Source organism: Homo sapiens, chromosome 12, assembly GCF_000001405.40.
Source record: "Homo sapiens chromosome 12, GRCh38.p14 Primary Assembly".
Classification (NCBI taxonomy): Eukaryota; Metazoa; Chordata; class Mammalia; order Primates; family Hominidae; genus Homo; species Homo sapiens.
This window is the reverse complement of record NC_000012.12, coordinates 8,056,295-8,079,633: the sequence shown is the minus strand read 5'-3', so window position 1 is coordinate 8,079,633 and position 23,339 is coordinate 8,056,295. Positions and strand designations below refer to the sequence as shown.

Below are 23,339 nucleotides of genomic sequence, written 5' to 3'. Positions count from 1 at the left end.
CCACTTGTGTGTGCCCTGGATTCTCCTCAGGGACCAATCTCCTCAGGGACCTGGTTAATCAGTTATCTCCTTTCTTTCCTGTATCTTAAAACTCATTTTCCATTCACCCCTTTCCCTCACCATGTAAGTATATTCAAGTCCTTTCACCTAAAAAAAAAAAAAAAAAAAAACCCTTACTTAACCATGTTTTTTCTTTATATAAATTTAAATTTCCCTTCTCTTGCTTCATCTCAACAGAAACAGAAAAAAATACAGTCTTCCTCACTCTCACCCACGATGTCTTCTCTAGCTTAACTGATCACATTGCCATAATTTTCCATACATGCCATTTTTATTCATGCTGAACATATTTGTCCAGACTGAAATGCACTTCCCGTTCATTCCTTGGTAAGATGCCTTTAGATCTAATCTAAATATCAATTTATCTCAGAAGTTTTCCTCAACTTCTCTAAATAGAACTGGTAACTGCCTCCTCTATGCTCCCACAACATTTGTACAGCTGTTTTAGTTCTTAGCACATTGCATTCAACTGCTTGTTGGCATCTCTGTTTTCCAAGGGAAAGAAACAGGTTTGTGTTTTCCCAGTATCTAGCACAGTTTTCAGACTATAGTAAGAACTCTGTATGTTTATTTGCTAAATGAATGATCATTTCAGCCTGCCTTAACAGGGATGATTTGTTCTTTCCCAATCAAAATAATTAAAAATGTCTTGGGCCGGCACAGTGGCTCACGCCTGTAACCTCAGCACCTTGGGAGGCTGAGGCAGGCAGATCACTTGAGGTCAGGAGTTCAAGACCAGCCTGGCTAACATGTTGAAACCCTGTCTCTACTGAAAATACAAAAACTAGCTGGTCATAGTGGTGCATGCCTGTAATGCCAGCTACTTGGGAGGCTAAGGCAGGAGAATTGCTTGAACCCAGGAGACGGAGGTTGCAGTGAGTCAAGATCATGCCACTGCACTCCAGCCTGGGCTACTGAATGAGACTCCGTATCAAAAAAAAATAAACTAAAATAAAAAAATTAAAAATGTCTTGTCTCGAACTTATCTTTGCCCACCACCGGGGGGTAGTAGCTACACAGCTCACAGGTTCTGGGCTGAGTAGACTGTGCTAAGTCAAGCTAGTGTTCTTGTATGTGGCTTTGTAAGTATATGATTTAACCAAGTTTAACAAAAGCTTGTTTTTTTAAATGCATTGTTGAAATTCATGGAGGCCTTACCCATCTCAAATCTTGGTCACTTTTAGATGTCATTTAAACATGAAAATAACTTATGGTTTTCTTAACTTAGCCCTACCAGTAACATATTTCCCAGCTCTTCTTTACGCACACACAAAAAGGTATTTATCACAGATTAAATTCTGACTTATCATTGCTCAGGGTACTGCTATCAATGGTATTTGTTAAAGTATAATTTTCCTAAATCCTGAAGTTGCTACACATGCAGTGGTAATAAAAATTGTAATGAGATTCGAATCATAGTTTACAGGATTTTTTTTAGCTAGAGTGGACCTTAGTAACCTTTCAGTTCAGATCTCATCCAAAGACATAGTTGGTGATGCAGTCAGGATCAGAACTTCATATCTCATGATTTACAAACTAACACTCTTTCCACTGTGAGATAGGTAAGGCCTCCATCAATTTCAACAATTCAAAAAACGAACATTTTTTAAAGTTGAAAACGCTGTGTTGGTCTTACCATGATCTCATATTTTAATCAAATAGCAGTTAAAGTCAGCCATTGACCTAAATCTAGCCATACCTACTCCTTGCTCTGCAGTGTTGTGCTGTAGCTGCTGTGTCAGGTTAAACTGGCTTTGCTTGTAAATTTGACAATCTTCAAATCTGAGGGGTAATGAATTCTAACTTTGATTTATTTACTGCTGTATCCCCAACACCTAGAACAGTGCCTGGCACATGGTAGGTGTTCAATCAATATTTGTAGTTTAAATGACAATAATCTAGAAACCTAGAGAGAGAAAAAAATAAAAAAGATTGAGAGTCCTATAACTACAGAACTTAGGATCAAAGCTACTTTAGTATTAATACTATTCATGAAGAAAAGACATCAGGTTCTACAGCCTGAAAAGCAAAGGATACGTCTCACTTGGGACACTTTAAGTTAGAATTCTGTTTCCTGATGATTTAAGGGAAATATCCTTTCCTCCTACATGTCCAAGCTATATAATAGCTTCAGAACATGAATAAAACTTGGCCCCAGGGAGATTTACAGCAATGACTCACCCTTTGTGACTCTCCGCTGCTTAATGAGGATGTGAGGCATCTGGCAGGTGCTGGGTGTAATTAGGAGAAGGACCAGGCCCGAAAACTAAAGATATCTGCTTTTTCCCCCAACTCCATCATCCCCCTACTACACCATCAAACGAAAACCCAGCAGAAAGAATTTCTACTACCTGCTATGGTTACTAGAGTGCAGATGACTTACTAAGGAAATAGCTGATTTCCAGAGTGATGAGCTTATTCATTGAAGAGCCTTAGAGGACATTTCTTACACCCCAGATTGTCAAAAATTTAAATATCTGTCAATACCCAGTGCCGGTAAGGATGTGGGGCAATGGGAACTTCGGCAGTATCTGGTAAAATGGAATATGCTCATACCTCATTACCCCTGAATTCCCTACTTAGGTAGAGCAACTCCTGCAAATATACAGTAGGAAAAATGCGCAAGAATTTCACTGCAGTGCTGTTTACTATTTATAATAGCAAGACATTGGAAATAAATGTCCATCATTAGAACAAACAATGGGATAGTATAAATAGTGAACACAAATGAACTACTTGCTGTGTGCATCAACATGAATAGATGACAAAAATAAAATACTAAGCGGGGAAAATAAATTTAAAAATAAAACTGTCCCATTTATACAATCTTCAAAAAAAGGCAAATCTAAGATTGTGTAAACATTTTATGAAATGTAAGGAAATGATAAATACAGGCTGGGCGTGGTAGCAAGTGCCTGTAATCCCAGTTACTCCAGAGGCTGAGGCAGGAGAATCACTTGAACTCAGGAGGCAGTGGTTGCCGTAAGCCAAGATCATGCCATTGCACAAATACCATTAACAAATATTGCACAAATACCATTAACAAATATCGTGCCATTGCACAAATACCATTAACAAATATCATTGCACTCCAGCCTGCACACAAGAGCGAAACTCTGTCTCAAAAAAACAGAAAATGATAAATACAAAATTTCCAGTTGTGATTACTTGGTAAGGAGGTGCAGGAGGTAGATCAGGGTAGTTTGCAGAGGGTGCTTGAGAGAAAATGGTAGCATTCTATTTCTGATGCTGAATGGTAAGCTCATGGATGGTAATTTTATTATTCAGAATGTATCTATTAATTATATGCATTCTTCCAAATATATGATATAACACACAATAAATTATGGTGAGCAACTAAGTTCTCAGATACCGATTTTAACAATAAACATTCTGTATAATAATAATGACGATCATATTACGTAATATTGATATCAGATCTTTAAGATTACAAAATGCTTTCACGCATACTATCTCATTTATTTCTCACAACAATCTCGTAGAGTAGGTAATGTTATTCCCATTTTCATAAAAAGTATGCTGAGTTACAGAAAGGTCAGTGACTTGCTCATCTAATATTTAAGTGTCAGGAACAGAACCCGAAATTCCTGGTACCAAAGCAACAGCTGACTATAACTTATAGTTAAATGTTTGTATGTATTACTAGCATTGCTATGTCTATGGTTAAATGATAGTAATAACTAACATTTATCAAGTACTGAGTCCTGTTCTACATGCTTATATGCATTATATCACTAATCATATGACATAGGTACTATTATGATCATGCCCACTCTACAGATGAAGAAACTGATACATTGTGATTAAATAATTTGTCCACAGCCATAAGTGGTAGACATATATCTAATTATCTCTAAACCCAGGTCGTTAACCAATATGCAATTCTCTGTCAATAATGTTTTCCTTCTGTCCTCAACCTCTTCATCTATAAAAGGGACAGAATATACAATAGTTACAGCGATTACAGTAGATACTTGTTATTTATGGATCACATATTTGCAAATCAGGTACTTACTAGAATTTATCCAGCTGTCAAACAAGGTGATACTGCCTTCTTGTTTTAGCTTTCATACTATAAACAAGTATCCTTTTCGCAGTCTATTTAGTGCCCCTTTTTTTGAATTTTTGGTTTTTTGTTGTTTTTAAATGATTTTATCATTTAAAATGGCCACCGAGCGTAGTGCTGAAATACTGTCTAGTATTCCTAAACATAAGAAGGCTTTGATACACCTTACAGAGGAAACATGCGTGTTAGCTACACTTCATTCAGGGATGAGTTATAGAGCTTTCGTTATAAAGGTCAATGCTGATAAATCAGCAAAGTATATGAAATAAGCCATTGGCCGAGCGTGGTGGCTCACGCCTGTAATCCCAGCACTTTGAGAGGCCGAGGCGGGTGGATCACCTGAGGTCAGGAGTTTGAGACCAGCCTGGCCAACAGAGTCTCTACTAAAAATACAAAAATTAGCTGGGTGTGCTGGCGGGCGCCTGTAATCCCAGCTATTTGGGAGGCTGAGGCAGGAGAATCGCTTGAACCCAGGAGGCGGAGTTTCCCGTAAGCCGAGATCGCGCCACTGCACTCCAACCTGGGCGACAAGAGGAGGACTCCGTCTTAAAAATAATTAATTAATAAATAAGCCATCTTTAAACAGAAACACACATAAAACAAGATTATGTATTGATCGGTCGTACATGGTGGCAGACGCCTGTAATCTCAGCTACTCAGGAGGCTGAGGCAAGAAAATCGCTCGAACTCGGGAGGTGGAGATTGCAGTGAGCCCAGACTGCGCCACTGCACTCCAGCCTGAGAGGCAGAGCGAGACTCAGTCTCAAAAAAAAAAAAAAGTATTGATCGTTTGATGTGTTCCCCATGACTTTATAAAATATGACTGCCTAAAATAATGAGAGTATTCACTTTTAGGGAAACATTCCAGCTAACAGCAGAAGCTCTGGAGGCCAGCTCTTTGGTTCTAGCTCTGTCATTTACATAGTGGTGTGAACTTAGGTAAATAGCTACTTTGCATGTCAGTGTCCTGTTTGACAATGAGTTACCTATCTCATCATTGGGTTGCTGCGTGAGTTAAACGGCATACAACCAATGAAGTGCTTAGCACAGAGCCTAGTTAATAAACCATCCTGTGTACGTTATTACTAATACTAACTAGCATTTGAAATAAGTATTATGTTTGTTTAGGGAAATATAAACAATGATACAATTGATATTTTGGCACTTCAGAAGATATACAACAGAACATAACAACTAAAATATAATTGCCACTTTGAAACCTTTTCTCGCTAGGCACGGTGGCTCACGCCTGTAATCCCAGCACTTTGGGAGGCCGAGGCAGGTGGATCACAGGGTCAGAAGATCGACGCCATCCTGGCCAACACGGTGAAACCCTGTCTCTACTAAAAGAATACTAAAAATTAGCCAGGTGTGGTGGTGCATGCCTGTAGTCCCAGCTACTCGGGAGGCTGAGGCAGGGGAATCGCTTGAACCCGGGAGGCAGAGATTGCAGTGAGCCAAGATCATGCCACTGCACTCCAGCCTGGCGACAGAGCGAGACTCCATCTCAAAAAAAAAAAAAACAAAAAAAACACCTTTTCTCCTAATGGCTAACAAATCTGCCCAGTGTAGTATGATTTGAAGAGATTTAGAAGGAGCATTTTATCTGAAATGTTTATGTGTCTTCACCTTCTTTTGCCTGCATTTTAGTGGGAATGAAATGGAGAAGAAAGAGCAAAGGAGAAAAGAAATGGAGAACACATTTTCTTCTTTGTTGTTTTTTTTTTTTTTTTTTGAGACGGAGTCTCCTCTGTCATCCAGGCTGGAGTGCGGTGGCACGATCTCAGCTCAGTGCAACCTCTGCCTCCCAAGTTCAAACAATCCTCCTGCCTCAGCCTCCCTAGTAGCTGGAACTACAGGCTTGCACCACCATGCCCGGCTAATTTTTGTATCAAAAATATATCTTGACCTACATTGACGAGAGCCATCTACCCCTCAGTAGTCCTCTATTCTGTCTCCCCTCCAAAAAAAAAGCTTCTATGACTTCTCATTAGATCAGTTGGACATACACAGAAGACTTGTCTCTGTAGCAGGACAAGCCGCAGACAAAACCCCTCAGACGCCGAGTTAAAGAAGGGAAGGAAGGGCTTTATTCGGCTGGGAGCTTCAGCAAGACTCACGTCTCCAACAACCGAGCTCCCTGAGTGAGCAATTCCTGTCCTTTTTAAGGGCTCACAACTCTAAGGGGGTCCGCCTGAGAGGGTCGTGATCGATTGAGCAAGCAGGGGTTACGTGTCTAGGGGCTGCATGCACTGTCATTAGATCAGAACAGAACAGGACAGGGATTTTCACAGTGCTTTTCTATACAATGTCTGTAATCTATAAATAACATAACCAATTAGGTCAGTGGTCGATCTTTAACTACCAGGCCCAGGGTGTGGCACCAGGCTGTCTGCTTGTGGATTCCATTTCTGCCTTTTAGTTTTTACTTCTTCTTTCTTTGGAGGCAGAAATCGGGCATAAGACAATATGAGGGGTGGTCTCCTCCCTTATCTCCTTGTTCACTTTTGCCTTTATAGAACTAAAGTCACAAAGGGTGTTAATGAAACATGTACCTACATTCAGTTTACTTCCACTTCAGCCTCTCCTACCTGGCTATTCTAGATACACTCTATAATAGAAAGTCAAAAACCAATAAATCGATAGAATAAGCAAAGTTTGTTAGATTTTCTTTAAATCACTAAGATTTGTCTGAGTTATCATGCCAAATTTGGCTGATTTCTTTCAAGATCCAGGCATAGATACTTGTTATTATGGTAGAGTTAACAGTTTTTTATTTTATTTACTTTTTAACTGAATTATTTTTAATTTCTGGGCAACTTTGTTCTTCAATTTGTGTTCCTACTTGGCTTTACCATAACTATGTGGATAATTAGGCAGTTATACTCTAGCGGGGAAAGAGTACATCTAATCTACATCTTTGAGGGCCATAGGTTAGAATTTGACTTGACAAAAAGGGTATGATTTCACACTGGGAAGGGAACATTTTGTAAATTATTTGCCACTTGTCTAAGATGGAAAATAATTTTGATCTAATAAGCAACTGTAATTCACATTAGTTTTTTGACATAATAATGGCTAATATTTGTTAAGTTCCGTATATGCTGGTACTGTTTTAAGAGCTTTGTGTGTCTGTTAATCTACTCCTGACAATACTATAGAGTAGGTAGAGAATATTCCCTGAATTAGTCATTTTCCAGCCAGGAAATCTAAAACCATTGTAGGTACTTCAAAAGGGATATATGAGACAAGAACTTGGGCCAGCCATCGTGGTTCACGCCTGTAATCATAGCATTTTGGGAGTTGAGGCCAGGAGTTCAAGACCAGTCTGAGCAACATAGTAAGACCCCATCTCTGCAAAACAACATTTAAAAATAGCTGGATGTGGTGGTGCATGCCTGTAGTCCCAGCCACTCGGGAGGCTGAGGCAGGAGGATCACTTGAGCCCAGGAGTTCAAGGCTGCAGTGAGCTACAATCAAGCCACTGCACTCCAGCCTGGGCAACAGAGCAAGACCCTGTCTCAAAAGAAAAAAAGAAAAGAAAAGAAAAAGAAAAACAAGACTTGGCTACAGAAGTGTCAAAAGAAGTAGAGGAATAAAAAGTGAAAAGATGATATTAGCTGTGTATCAATTACTGCAGGAGGATGCTTTCCTACAATTGGAAGAGAAAAAATGGAAAAGGATATTACCTAGAATAGGCAAGCATGCACTTGCTTTTAAGGATGGGAGTTCTTGCTGCCACTTAACAAGAATCTAAACTCACAGGCCTGCTGCTGCTGCTGCTGCTTGCTGCTGGAACCATTAATCCTGCTGGAGCCTCCAGCAGCCAGCAGCCACTGCTGCCACACCTGCCCCCTCCATTGCAGAAATCAGGTGCTAAATGATATCCCTTTCTCCCATATTGCTTTTCCTTTAACAATTTTAATGTTTATTCTATTTCATAGTCTTTGTTCTTTTATTTATTTTTATTTTTATTTATTTTTTGAGACAGGTTCTTTGTTGCCTGAGCTGGAGTACAGTGGCACTATCATAGCTCCCTACAGCCTCAACCTCCCAGGCTCAAGCCATCCTCCCGCCTCAGCCTCCCAAGTAGCTGGGTCTACAGGTGTGCACCACCATGCCCAGCTGATTTTTTGTATTTTTAGTAGAGGGGGGTTTTGCCATATTACCCAGGCTGGTCTTGAACTCCTGGGCTCAGGCAATCTGCCTGCCTTGGCCTCCCAAAATGCTGGGGTTACAGGCGTGAGTGACCGCTTTCTTTTACTTTTTTTAAAATTTTTTTATTTTTATTTTTTTGAGACGGAGTATCGGTCTGTCACCCAGGCTGGAGTGCAGTGGCGCGATCTCGGCTCACTGCAAGCTCCGCCTGCCGGGTTCACGCCATTCTCCTGCCTTAGCCTCCAGAGTAGCTGGGACTACAGGCGCCCACCACCACGCCTGGCGAATTTCTTTATGTATTTTTAGTAGAGACGGGGTTTTACTGTGTTAGCCAGGATGGTCTCGATCTCCTGACCTCATGATGCGCCCGCCTCGGCCTCCCAAAGTGCTGGGACACAGGCATGAGCCACCGCGCCCAGCCTCTTTTACTTTTAAAATAGATTTGCAATCTCTGTGCACAACCAAGTTATGAAATTAAAAGCAATAGTTCCCCTTTCTCCTTACTTTCCATTGACACATGAACATGTCCTTCCGGAAGATCCTATTCAGAACCCAGCTGGAGAGAAGGTAGAGGAGACATAGTCCATAGGTTTCTAATAGATAATAAGGAAGGGTGTGGGCGGCTTGAGTATCGATAGATGATATCTGACACAGTCCCTGTTTTGCAGATAAGAAAACGAGAACATACAGTGTGAGAAGCTTATTTTCAGTAACACAATTAGTAAGTGGCAAAGTTGAGACTTAAACCCAGGCTTTCTACCTGCCCTCCCTTAGTCCTTAGAATACCCTTTTTACTCCCACCAACGCCATGTACCTGTGCCATTTAGTTGTGTTGGGCTCACCTCCCCCTTAATATGTGCTCATGCTTTTCCCTTGAAATGCCCTCTCAGCTTCAATCTCCCTGCTCAAATGAGAGAATTATAGATTGTTAGATGTAAAAGAAACCTGAAAGACCATTTAATCCAACCTTTAATTTTCCACCTAAGAAAACAACAACAAATTTCTAGGTCAAGTATCTAGCCCAAGGTCGAGTAGTTATTACAAAACTGAAAGTCAAATGTATGTCTCCACATTCCTGGTCTAGTGCTCTATTCACCTCATGAATCTTTTCTTCCATAAAAATTTTCCAGCTAATTCTAGCCACCATCAATCAATCTTACCCTTTGCTGACCAGCCATTGCATTTGTCTGTGTCATCCACAGTTTTTGGCACTTAGTTATATTTAATTTAGAGCATAGGTTACTACAAATTATCTAATAACGGATTTAATCATTTTTTGTTGAAGTCTTTAAGGACAGTAACTTTATAATGTATTTAACTCTCTCAGAGAAAACAAGCTAGAGATCTGTGATTCTAACATTTTTATTTTGGCCAAACAAGCTTTAATACAGATCTCCATCAATTACAGTGTAGAATTAGTCAAGTGACTGGTAAAAGGTTTTAATATGGCTGCCTTTGCAACATACATTCAAATTTTCTTTTTTCCAAAGCATCTGATCTCTGCTTTTAGAAATTTATATTTAGATATTCAGAATAGAACAAAACAGAAGTGAATCACATAACTTCCTCAGAGCTTTCCACAATACACCACAAAACAACCAGTACTTTTTAAGAAGAGAGAGAGGTCATCCAGAAACAGGAGCACTATTCACAACAAGTTTTTAGTAATTTTCTTCCTGAAAAATCCAAAGAACACAGCTGGGAGCTCTTGAACCAGTTTAAATTGCTGTATAACATCCAGCTAAATTTTTATATTTTTAGTAGAGATAGGGTTTCATCACGTTGGCCAGGCTGGTCTCGAACTCCTAACCTCAGGTGATCCGCCCGCCCTGGCCTCCCAAAGTGCTGGGATTACAGGCATGAGCCACCACACCCAGCCACATTGCTGTGTAATCTTTAGAGAGAGAGAAATTAGTAAAAGTGAATTCATGCCAGAAACAACTCTAAGGACTCAAGTTAATTATTTGAATTATATTCAGATGTCAACATCCTTTTCAAACAAACATTCATTCACTTATTGGTGCCACAGACCTGTTATACCAGGCAAGGTAGCAGCCACTGGAGACAGACAAGAAATTCATGGTAGGGGAGAGAGAGAGACAAGGTATTATTTTACAGTACTATTGCCTGACAAATTTCTACCCATCCTTATGGCCCCAATGCTACCTCTTCAGTGCATCATCGTGGGTTTGCTTCCATGAGAATTAGTCTCTTACGGTTTCATATTCCCAGGGTGTATTGTGCCCTCCTAACAGCCCCTACTGTATTACAGTTATATACATCTCTCATTCCTCCTCCATCTTCCGCAGTGCAACACACTGTATCAGGAGCAGGAGCAGAAGCAGAGTATATGTTTATGGTACTGAACTTAGTGTGACAATTTGTGAAGTCTCTTTAGTGGAAAATTCTGTATCTTTCAAAATGTAAAAGTGTGTGCTCTTAGACTTAGCAATTCCAATTCTAAAACTCTATTCTACAGAAATACATGTAAATACTATAGTGCTCATTGAGTTTTGTTTATAATCATTTAAAATTGGATAAAAACAATATTCCACGAAAAATAATTAAGTAAGTGGAATAATATGGAGCAACTTAAAAAGTATAATTTGGGACCGCACGCAGTGGCTCACGCCTGTAATCCCAGGACTTTGGGAGGCCGAGGTGGGCAGATCACCTGAGAGCAGGAGTTCGAGACCAGCCTGGCCAGCATGGTGAAACCCCGTCTCTACTAAAAATACAAAAAATTAGCCAGGTGTGGTTGTGGGCACCTGTAATCCCAGCTACTTGGGAGGCTGAGGCAGGAGAATCGATTGAAGCCAGGAGGCAGAAGTTGCAGTGAGCCGAGATCGCACCATTGCACTCCAACCTGGGTGACAAGAGCAAAACTCTGTCTCAGGAAAAAAAAAAAAAAAAGTGTAATTTGGGCCAAGATGTCCTGATATAAAAAGATAAGTGGAAAAAATAGAACAAAACAATATGCGTAGTAGAATATGCGTATTTAAGAGAGAGACTACATCTGGAAAGTGGAAAGAGGATAGCTAGGTGTTTAGGAAATTTTGGTTTTTACTTTAATCTTCTCATATTTAATTTTTACCATGGGGAATTAATTGTTTTTATAAAATATATTTTAATTAGATATATATGTACATATATGATAATCCTACATTTTATATGCTTTCTGGATACCTATATTATTCAATATTTCCAAATATTGGAGGAAAGAAAACCCAAAATAATCAATAGGATTATATGTACTAACATGGAAGTATGTTTTGATATATTGTTAAGTAAAAAAGCAAGACATAAAATCACACATAAATTACCATCCCATTTATGTTCAAAACTACCTTTTAGAAAAATGTGTGTTAGGCCGGGTGGGGTGGCTCACACCGGTAATCACAGCACTTTGGGAGGCTGAGGCAGGTGGATCACCTGAGCTCAGGAGTTCAAGACCAGCCTGCCCAACATGGCAAAACCCCATCTCTACCGAAAAAATATAAAAATTAGCCGGTTGTGGTGGCACATGCCTGTAGTCCCAGCTACTAAGGAGGATGAGGTGGGAGAATTGCTTGAACCTAGGAGGCAGAGGTTGCAGTGAGCCAAGATGGTGGCACTGCACTCCAGCCTGGGCGACAGACTGAGGCCCTGTCTCCAACAAACAAAATGTGTGCTATATTCAGAAAAAAAAAAATCAGGAAGAATGAACACTAACCTATTAAAAATAGTTACTTCGAGCAGTGGAATTGAAAAGAAAATCTTTCATTTTTTTTACCCATTATAATTCTGTATTATTTCAATTTATCTCTTCTAGAACAAAGTATGTTCTATTTTTGTAATTAGATGATGACAATGGAAATAAACTAATAAATACTACTCAACTCTTGGCATTTTTCTTTTGATCTTTCTGCCTCAAAAATATTCCGTGGTGACTTGACTGCAAACAAGCAGAGGAGCAGATATTATGGTTTGGACAAGTTGATTAATATAGACTGAAGCCTATATCACAGACAACAGTGTTCAAATACATTTGACCCAAATAAACTTTATTTTATATGCATATATCTAAAAGAGTATATGCATATATCTAAAAGAATAATATAAGAATTATTTACAGCATAGTATTCATTAAGCAGGAATTACCTTCAGTCTTCTGTACTCCTTCCTGATGAAACAGCACCTAGACTCCAGCCTGTTCTCCAGTGACCACTAAGCTCTCCCACCTACCTCCCCACCTACCTGCCCTCTACCACCTACCTGCCTTTGACTAGGCTCCACTTATAGCCTAAGCAGCTTTTCACCTTTTTCTGTCTCTAGAATTCCTACAGGTACTTAATTAAGTACTTGCCCACATCTTATTTCTATCTTAAGACTCTCCTAGATTGCCCTGGGTTATATATACCCCTGGCTAGAGTGTTCTATTATTTTACTTCTATTGTTACTTCTATTATTATAGCCTAGTTTGTATTACAGCTTTGTGTGTATATGTATGGGTACATATTCCCACTCGATTGTGAATCTCTGGAGATTAGAATATAGCTTAATTCATCCTGATTTTGACATGGCACCGTTTTTCACATATATCAAGCATTTCAGATATGTTATTTGAGATTAATTAAATGAGTTTATTCAGGTCATTCCTCCCCAACCACTCCCCACTCCAACCCTCACATCTCATAGAGTCTTTTTTTTTTCATTTCTAAACAAAACCTATAAAGTTGAACCCTATGTACAGAGGTACCCTCTCTCTAACCATTCTCTGTGTGCTGCAGAAAATGTCTCAGGATTATAAACTCCTACTTCTGTTTTCCTGCTTTGCCTTTCTAAGCCATTTAGAAATGACTCACTTTGAAACTCTTCCTGTGAGGTCAGATAGTGGTCTAGAGCATAAGACTTAACTTATTGCCGGAAACAGAGAGAGAACAGAAGAAGAGAAAGCTCAGCAAATTTTCTTGCCATACTTCATGACTTCACTGTGGCTAAGTGTGGGGACCAGACAGGACTCGTGGAGACATCCAGGTGCTGAAGCCTTCAGCTACTGTCTCAGTTTTTTGGTAAGAAAACCTAGACCTACCTGATGACTTGTGCTTAGCCTGTTTTGCTCATTATAGGTAATGAGTTTGAGTGTCACTATCTTCTATTTCCCCTATTCCTTCTCTGACTTTGAATTCTTTTATCTTATCTCTATGTCTAACTTCCTTTTTCTAAATATTCCACATTGCATTTGTCTTTGCTTTTAATATTTTCATAGTGGAATTAATAGTGAATTTTTACATCATTTCTTTCCTTTCTTTGAATTGGCTATGTATTTCACCCTGAACTTTGATTCCAGCTGTCCCCATTAATTTGTTTTTCAAATAATTGATTGCACTTTTTTTCCCTTTCCATTTCCTCTTTCTTTTTTTTATTCTTTTGCCCATTCCTTATTGCTACTGACTCTGTTATCCTATTACTACAATTTGATTCTGGGGTCCACTTTTCTTTCTCTATCACAGTGGAATTTTAGTTTCAGGATATTAATTACCTTTAAATTACGGCTGGTCAACTTAGTAATAATTTTTTTTAATCCTCTACTAATCTTAAACACATAAAGGTATGGTATTTTTAGCCAAATTAACTTGAAGAAATGTAAAAAGTAATCTTGCTCTGCAGGACTTTTTTTTTTTTTTTTTTTTTTTGAGACAGAGTCTCACTCTGTTGCCCAGGCTGGAGTACAGTAGCATGATCTCAGCTCACTGCAACCTCCGCCTCCCAGGTTCAAGCGATTCTCCTGCCTCAGCCTCCTGAGTAGGTGGGATTGCAGGCACGTGCTACCACACCCAGTTAAATTTTTTTGTATTTTTAGTAGAGACAGGGTTCCACCATGTTGGCCAGGTTGGTCTCAAACTCCTGACCTCAGGTGATCTACCCGCCTCTGCCTCCCAAAGTGCTGGGATTACAGGCGTGAGCCACCACACCCAGCCTTGTTCTAAAGGACTTTTAATCCCTGACTCCTACATACTTTCATTTCAAAACAGATAATAACAATATTTAACATATAGCTCATGACAGATAACTCTATTTTTATTAAAATTTTGCTGTTTGCAGTCCCTGCTACTTCAGTTCATGCAGTTCTCGGCAGCTTCCCCTTTATTAGCAATACCATATATCTTTTTTTTTTTAATGTGATTTTTTTTTTTTTTTGGTAGTAAAAACAGCATTTGCCTAACAGTCCTCGGACCTGAAATCCAAGAACCTCCCTAGTAATGATTATATGCTTGTAATCTAATTTGCTGAGTTTCACTGTCAAACTTGAGAAATAAAAGCAGAGAAAACGTAGGCTGGGCACAGTGGCTCATGTCTGTAACCCCAGCACACTGTGAGGCCAACATGGGAGGATTGCTTGAGTCCAGGAGTTTGAGAGCAGCTTGGGCAACATAGCAAGACCCTATCTCTACAAACAAACAAACAAACAAACAACAACAACAACAACAAAATGAGGAGAGGAGAGATGATTACCAAGTTTTCTTTCAGCCCTAGCATCCCATGACTCTATTCTTCTCTCAATATTTTAGGGGGGTACCGTGATAGTATTTAAATATCTGAGTAGACAAGGCCATGGAAAGGGGAATGAGAATAATTTCTTCTTCTTTTTTTTTTTTTGAGATGGAGTTTTGCTTTTGTTGCCCAGGCTGGAGTGTAGTGGCGCAACCTCGGCTCACCACAACCTCTGCCTCCCAGGTTCAAGCGATTCTCCTGCCTCAGCCTCCTGAGTAGCTGGGATTACAGGCATGTGCCACCATGCCCACCTAATTTTGTATTTTTAGTAGAGACAGAGTTTCTCCATGTTGGATAGGCTGGTCTCAAACTGACCTCAGGTGATCTGCCTGCCTTGGCTTCCCAAAGTGCTGGGATAACAGGTGTGAGCCACTGTGCCCAGCCCATGTCTTCTTTTTTATTATTTTGTTGACTTGCTATTTTAACTTCTGCTAATCATATGAGGCCCTATGGCAATATTTGGCTGACTCAGCAGAACTACTTTCAAGTCACAAAAATATTTTGAGCCTCTATAAAAGTAAAATGTTATTTTATCCAGTAAAAATTAGGAATTTCACAAAAAGAAAGTTAAAAGGGACAGCATGGGAATTAAGGAAGAGGCCTGGGTAAGGATTACATGGATACAAATTAGAATTTTAGATGTAATTGCAAAAGAAAAAAAAAGTCAACCCCCAAAATGGGCATCCATCTATTCAAGTAATTTTTTTTTTCTTTTTTTTTCTTTTGAGACAGAGTCTCTTTGTCATGCAGGCTGGAGTGCAGTGGTGCAATCTCAGCTCACTGCAACCTCCACCTCTCCAGTTCAAGCGATTCTCGTGCCTCAGCCTCCCAAGTAGCTGGGATTACAAGTGTGAGCTACCACACCCAGCTAATTTTTGTATTTTTGGTAGAGATGGGATTTTGCCATGTTAGCCAGGCTGGTCTTGAACTCCTAGCCCCAAGCGATCTTCTCCCCTCGGCCCCCCAAAGTGCTGCGATTACAGGCATGAGCCACTGCGCCCAGCCTTTCCACATAATCTTTAACCTTGGTGTCTCATAAGGCATTATGTTAAATTATGTGAAATGAGCATTTATGAATAAGACTCCTTTTTACCATCATAAAGTTTAAATCCAGAATAATAGATTAGACAGCCATTATAATTATTGTACAAGATAAAATGTGTCATTGCATATAGAATATGAAAAAAAGGTTCAAACATGCGCACACACACAAATTAAGAAGCTGAAGACTTGGTGAAGGGCATAATTCCAGATAGAAGTAAACAGCATTAGCCATGGAACGGAAAATGGCATTAAGTTGGAATAGTGAATTGTTCAGGAAAGCTATAAAGCAGGGTACATTTACGAGCATGTTCACAGTTAGGGGAAGGTAATATCACAGAGGCCAAGAGAAGAGAGTGTTAAGAAGTCAGTGTATCTAATGACACATATTGTGGAAGGTGACTGAGAAACAAACGTTTGGATTTGGTTTTTAGAAGTAATTTTAGCAGAATTATGGAAGCAGAAGATACATTACAAAGAATTAAGAAGTTGGTGGCCGGCCGGGCCTGGTGGCTCACATCTGTAATCCCGGGACTTTGGGAGGCCGAGGCGGGCGGATCACCAGGTCAGGAAATCAAGATCATCCTGGCTAACATGGTGAAACCCCGTCTCTACTAAAAATACAAAAATTAGCCGGGCGTGGTGGTACACGCCTGTAATCCCAGCTCCTCGGGAGGCTGAGGCAGAAGAATTGCTTAAACCCGGGATGCGGAGGCTGTAGTGAGCCGAGATCGCACCATTGCACTCCAGCCTGGGAGACAGAGCGAGACTCCATCACAAAAAAAAAAAAAAAAAAAAAAAAAAGGGCCGGGCGCGGTGGCTCACGCCTGTAATCCCAACACTTTGGGAGGCCGAGGCGGGCGGATCGCCTGAGGTCGGGAGATCAACATCATCCTGGCCAACATGGAGAAACCCCGTTCTCTACTAAAAATACAAAAAAAAATTAGCCGGGCATGGTGGCGCATGCCTGTAATCCCAGCTACTGGGAGGCTGAGGCAGGAGAATCACTTGAACCCGGGAGGAGGAGGTTGCAGTGAGCCAAGATCGCGCCACTGCACTCCAGCGTGGGCAACAAGAGCGAAACTCCATCTCAAGAAAAAAGAAAAAAAGAAGAAGTTAGTGTTCAGAACAGTAGGCGTAGGCCCCAAAACAAAGCAGTATCCTTGAAAAAGAGAAATTATGCTAAATTAAGAGACTTAAGAAGAAAGTGCGATCTGAAGTAGATATTGTCGTGGACAAGCCAGCTATAAAAGATGTCTTAGGGACAGTTGAAAAATAATCATATAAAAGGGGGGGCATGGTGGTTCGTGCCTGTAATCTCAGCACTTCGGGAGGCCGAGGAAGAATCAGTAGAGCCCAGGAGTTGGAGACCAGCCTGAGCAACATAGCAAGACCCCATCTTTACAAACAGAAACAAAACAGATAAAGGTCGGGTATTCCTTATGGTACATATTGTATAATGTGGAGACTGCTAACTGAAAAAAGAAAAAAATGTATAAAAAATATGTATTTACACCCATGTTCATTGATGCATAATTCACAATAGTCAAAAGGTGAAAGCAATCCAGATGTCCTCTGTGGAATGACTGGATAAACAAAATGAAGTATAGACCTACAATGGAATATTATTCAGCCTTAAAAAGAAAGAAAATTCTGACCCATGCCACAACGCGGAGGAAGCTTGAAGACATTATGCTAAGTGAAATACACCAGACACAAAAAGACAAATACTGTGTGATTCCACTTAGATCAGATATCTAAAGTAGTCGAATTCATAGAAATTGAAAGTACAATGGTGATTGCCAGGGGCTGAGAAAAGGAGAAAATGGGGAATTCTTTCCTGAGCACATTTTCAGTTTTGTAAGATGAAAAAGTTCTGAAAATTGGTTGTACAACGTGAATATGGTAAACACTACTGAACTGTGTACTTAAAAATGGTGAAGATGGTAAATGTTATGATACATGTGTTTGGCAATTAAAATTTTTTTGTTAGGGCCAGGCGCGGTGGCTCGCACCTGTAATCCCAGCACTTTGGGAGGGAGAGGAGGGAGGATCACTCGAGCCTAGCAGTTCAAGAGTAGCCTGGCCAACATGGCAAAACCTGTCTCTGCTAAAAATACAAAAATTAGTTGGTACGTTGGTGGGCAACTGCAGTCCCAGCTACTCAGGAGGCTGAGGCACGATAATTGCTTGAACCCGGGAGGCAGAGGCTGCAGTGAGCCGAGATTGTATCACTGCACTCCAGCCTGAATGACGGAGGGAGATTCTGTCTCAAAAATAATAATAATAATAATAATAAATAAATAAATGAAGCACTGTCCCACATATTAGAAGGCTTCTAGCCATCACAGCCCCTGCTGTCTAAAGATACGCATGTGTATACCTAAATGCACACACACACATAAAAAAAGGTCAAGAGGATATAAATTCAGGTGCTAAAATAATAATCACTGACTAGTGAGTATATTTTTATTTTCTTTTTTGTTTGTCTATATTTTCCAATTTTCTTCATGCATATTTTTTGCTTTTGTAATAATAAAGCTCTTTTCCCAAGTTACGGTCATAAAACACAAATAAATAAGAAAGAAATGATAGGTAGTGAGGAAGTCAATGCAGAGGGCCAACAACTCTTGGAAAATTTGAAAGCAAAAGGAGATGGAGTTGTATCTAAAAGACATCGCTGAGTCTAGAGTACCTCTTTCTGTGGCGGCGAGTCCTCTGAAAATCTGGTGGGGAGAGTGGATGAAGCTTCTGCCCTCAGAGAAATGAGAATATGTAAAGTTGAAGTTTTGCATATCATTTTAGGTGGTGATGGAACTTCCTAAAACCCTTTCGTGACCTCAGGTTGGAGACCTCCAGTCCAGATATTTTTGTGTGTTTACTTATTTAGCTTATTTGTTTATTTTTAAACACACTGGGTGAAGAAAGGAGCCAGTGGAAAAACCAAGATTGAAAGTACAAGAAAGAGGAGAAATTTACACTAATATGGACTTCCAGATGAGGCTGTGATTTTGATACACACATAAATCAATACAGTAGATTTTAAATTGTCTATCATAGGATGGGCATGGTGGCTCATGCCTATAATCCCAGCACTTTGGGAGGCCAAGGCAGGCAGATCACCCGAGGTCAGGAGTTCAAGACCAGCCTGGCCAACATGGCAAAACCCCGTCTCTACTAAAAATACAAAAATTAGCCAGGCGTGGTGGTGCACGCCTGTAATCCCAGCTACTCTGGAGGCTGAGGCAGGAGAATCGCTTGAACTCGGGAGGCGGAGCTTACAGTGAGCTGAAATCAATCCACTGCACTCCAGCCTGCGCGACAGAGGAAGACTCTGTCTGAAAAATAATTAATAAATTAATAAATAAATATAATTGTCTATCAGAGAATGCTTTTATGTGGTCCCGTGTGAGGTGAAGGAAGGCAAACTAAAACAGCGTGAGGACCTTCTGGTTTCATGATCCCACATCTTTATGTGGGAAGATTAGAATCCTAAGAATATGTATGCATTTTCAAAAAGATACTGTTTGTTTTAACATTTTTTTCATCTTTTTGCAGAAGTTTAGCAATGGCGTCTTTCTCTGCTGAGACCAATTCAACTGACCTACTCTCACAGCCATGGAATGAGCCCCCAGTAATTCTCTCCATGGTCATTCTCAGCCTTACTTTTTTACTGGGATTGCCAGGCAATGGGCTGGTGCTGTGGGTGGCTGGCCTGAAGATGCAGCGGACAGTGAACACAATTTGGTTCCTCCACCTCACCTTGGCGGACCTCCTCTGCTGCCTCTCCTTGCCCTTCTCGCTGGCTCACTTGGCTCTCCAGGGACAGTGGCCCTACGGCAGGTTCCTATGCAAGCTCATCCCCTCCATCATTGTCCTCAACATGTTTGCCAGTGTCTTCCTGCTTACTGCCATTAGCCTGGATCGCTGTCTTGTGGTATTCAAGCCAATCTGGTGTCAGAATCATCGCAATGTAGGGATGGCCTGCTCTATCTGTGGATGTATCTGGGTGGTGGCTTTTGTGATGTGCATTCCTGTGTTCGTGTACCGGGAAATCTTCACTACAGACAACCATAATAGATGTGGCTACAAATTTGGTCTCTCCAGCTCATTAGATTATCCAGACTTTTATGGAGATCCACTAGAAAACAGGTCTCTTGAAAACATTGTTCAGCCGCCTGGAGAAATGAATGATAGGTTAGATCCTTCCTCTTTCCAAACAAATGATCATCCTTGGACAGTCCCCACTGTCTTCCAACCTCAAACATTTCAAAGACCTTCTGCAGATTCACTCCCTAGGGGTTCTGCTAGGTTAACAAGTCAAAATCTGTATTCTAATGTATTTAAACCTGCTGATGTGGTCTCACCTAAAATCCCCAGTGGGTTTCCTATTGAAGATCACGAAACCAGCCCACTGGATAACTCTGATGCTTTTCTCTCTACTCATTTAAAGCTGTTCCCTAGCGCTTCTAGCAATTCCTTCTACGAGTCTGAGCTACCACAAGGTTTCCAGGATTATTACAATTTAGGCCAATTCACAGATGACGATCAAGTGCCAACACCCCTCGTGGCAATAACGATCACTAGGCTAGTGGTGGGTTTCCTGCTGCCCTCTGTTATCATGATAGCCTGTTACAGCTTCATTGTCTTCCGAATGCAAAGGGGCCGCTTCGCCAAGTCTCAGAGCAAAACCTTTCGAGTGGCCGTGGTGGTGGTGGCTGTCTTTCTTGTCTGCTGGACTCCATACCACATTTTTGGAGTCCTGTCATTGCTTACTGACCCAGAAACTCCCTTGGGGAAAACTCTGATGTCCTGGGATCATGTATGCATTGCTCTAGCATCTGCCAATAGTTGCTTTAATCCCTTCCTTTATGCCCTCTTGGGGAAAGATTTTAGGAAGAAAGCAAGGCAGTCCATTCAGGGAATTCTGGAGGCAGCCTTCAGTGAGGAGCTCACACGTTCCACCCACTGTCCCTCAAACAATGTCATTTCAGAAAGAAATAGTACAACTGTGTGAAAATGTGGAGCAGCCAACAAGCAGGGGCTCTTAGGCAATCACATAGTGAAAGTTTATAAGAGGATGAAGTGATATGGTGAGCAGCGGACTTCAAAAACTGTCAAAGAATCAATCCAGCGGTTCTCAAACGGTACACAGACTATTGACATCAGCATCACCTAGAAACTTGTTAGAAATGCAAATTCTCAAGCCGCATCCCAGACTTGCTGAATCGGAATCTCTGGGGGTTGGGACCCAGCAAGGGCACTTAACAAACCCTCGTTTCTGATTAATGCTAAATGTAAGAATCATTGTAAACATTAGTTCTATTTCTATCCCAAACTAAGCTATGTGAAATAAGAGAAGCTACTTTGTTTTTAAATGATGTTGAATATTTGTCGATATTTCCATCATTAAATTTTTCCTTAGCATTGTCTAAGTCTTCCAGATTCCATTTAAAACCATTTCTTGTTCTCCTACGTGAGTGAAAGATGATCATATATCCTAATGCTTTGTTGTCGTGTGGTGTTGATGGTTTTAAACGAAAAGAAAGTGCAAAAAGAAAATGCCTGTGAAGACAAGAAGCCATGAGACTGAGTCTGGAGCATAGGGTTATGCAATGATGCCTGTCCCTGGGAACACCCCTGGGTACAGGATATAGAAATTTCCACTATTACATAGAGTTTCCACTATTACAACTAAATAAGCATCTATTGTGTGAAAACTGACTCATGAAATGTTATGAAAGCTGTGGTTTGGGGAGTTCTGTTTCTTCTAACTGCCTACCGGTTGGGCACCTATTTTCCACTCCTCTTCCTAAGCTCCTTAATTTCCTTATTACTCCCCAGCCTCCAAATCTTCCACATCAGACTTTGTGCCTCAAACAACCTCTAATTTCGTAAGATTCTAGTTACTCCCTTCCTCTTGCTCCAAATGAATACTTTCTAAGAAAGTATTTCAAGTGGAAGGAGAAAGAGGGTGGAGGATGGAGCAGCAATTCTTCTACTCTCTGCAACTGAGTACCCTACCAGGCTTGCCATCACATTTTAAAACATGACGACAGGCAACTTACATGCCAAAATTACCAAATATATCTTCTGGGTTTTTTAAATCCTTTTCTTTGCCAAAGTAATACATGCACATAGTTTTAAAATAATTTAATAAGGTATATAATGAAATATGAGGTCTCCTACCTCACTGTGCCCAAAAGTTCCCTCCTCCCACTCTCATTTCCCAGAGATAATCCTTGCACAATTTTAGATGTTTCCTTTGATAATTATCATGATGTTTCTAAATCATGTGCTTATGCTGCTCTTTTCTGGAGGCATGATAAAACGACTTCTTGTTTTGAAAGATGAAGATGTTTATCCAAGCACCCCATATTTTTAATTTGTTTATCCAGCATCCCAACATTCATTAATAACCATATTTTAATTCATTCATGACCACATATTTTTCTTCTACTTTGTCTATACACTCCAACCATTTATATAGCTTTCCTTCTGTCCCTTTTTCATTTAAAACAAAATTACCTAACTCCCTACCACCTTCTCATTTTTCTGTATATATAAATGTTTGTGTCAAACGTCTGAAATTTCTGGCTTGTTTGTATCACAACGTGGCCTCATCTAAACCAAATACAATGATGTAGTCTAAAAACAGAAAATGACATGTGTTTTAGACCTGCAAGACACTATCTGTTCAATGGCTGAGGTGAGGGTCTGGACTACAGATTTTTTATAAAGTATATGCAGAAAAATTACAAATCACTAGGAATTCTTTCAGTTGTGAAGAATGTCTGACATAAGATTTGAAGTGCTACCTTTCCAGCTTATATATTAATTTGCTTATATATTTGATATGAATAAATGCTTTTTTTCTCATGGGTCCTTGCGAGGCTCAGAGATTTATGAATCCTTTTGTTTCACATTCAGAATATATCACATCTCTAAATATGCAGCAAATAAGTCTCCTAGTGAGTGACTATAGACTTGCTATAATAGCAATTAGCCAGGCTTCCAGAAACCCCAGCACATCCCATAAGACCCTGGGAATAAGACCTAAACTCCTGGGGTTAGTGTATAGGATATCAAGGTGAATAATCTTGACGCAGTTATAAAGATTTAATGTACAACGAGTAATCAGCATTTCTGGACTCCTTTTCTTTTCCATTTGCTTTGGAAATGTATTCTGAAGAAATTCCTACAATTAGAGCTCCCTCATTTCTGATGAAAACCTGGTGAGTACCTGTAACTATTTTGTACTGTATCTTCTCCAGGAAGTCCCAGATGGGAACACAGCTCCTGTCCAAAGTATAATATCTTTTCTTTTTTTTTTTGAGATGAAGTATCACTCTGTAGCCCAGGCTAGAGCACAGTGGCACACTTGGCACGATCTCAGCTCACTGCAACCTCCACCTCTCGGGTTCAAGCAATTCTTCTGCCTCAGCCTCTCAAGTAGCTG

At 40.3% G+C, this 23,339-nt stretch overlaps 1 protein-coding gene across 3 annotated transcripts, besides 1 other annotated feature; it reads left to right on the top strand.

Annotated features, from left to right (window-relative positions):
* Positions 2,004-2,505: an enhancer, noted in NCBI's record as "NANOG hESC enhancer chr12:8229725-8230226 (GRCh37/hg19 assembly coordinates)". NCBI's record gives its function as "activates a minimal SCP1, AML or CMV promoter by ChIP-STARR-seq in naive H9 embryonic stem cells {active_cell/tissue: H9 hESC(naive)}" and the evidence as "EXISTENCE:reporter gene assay evidence [ECO:0000049][PMID:30033119]".
* On the top strand, positions 13,275-22,790 carry C3AR1 (complement C3a receptor 1). Of its 3 annotated transcripts, none has more exons than NM_001326475.2 (2): positions 13,275-13,356; positions 19,442-22,790. In NM_001326475.2, the coding sequence occupies exon 2, from the start codon at positions 19,449-19,451 to the stop codon at positions 20,895-20,897; it is 1,449 nt and encodes a 482-aa protein (NP_001313404.1). In that variant the 5' UTR covers positions 13,275-13,356; positions 19,442-19,448; the 3' UTR covers positions 20,898-22,790. The 3 variants fall into 3 exon arrangements, with proteins under 3 accessions (NP_001313404.1, NP_004045.1, NP_001313406.1); NM_004054.4 differs by having other exon boundaries at positions 19,439-22,790; NM_001326477.2 differs by having other exon boundaries at positions 13,275-13,413; positions 19,439-22,790.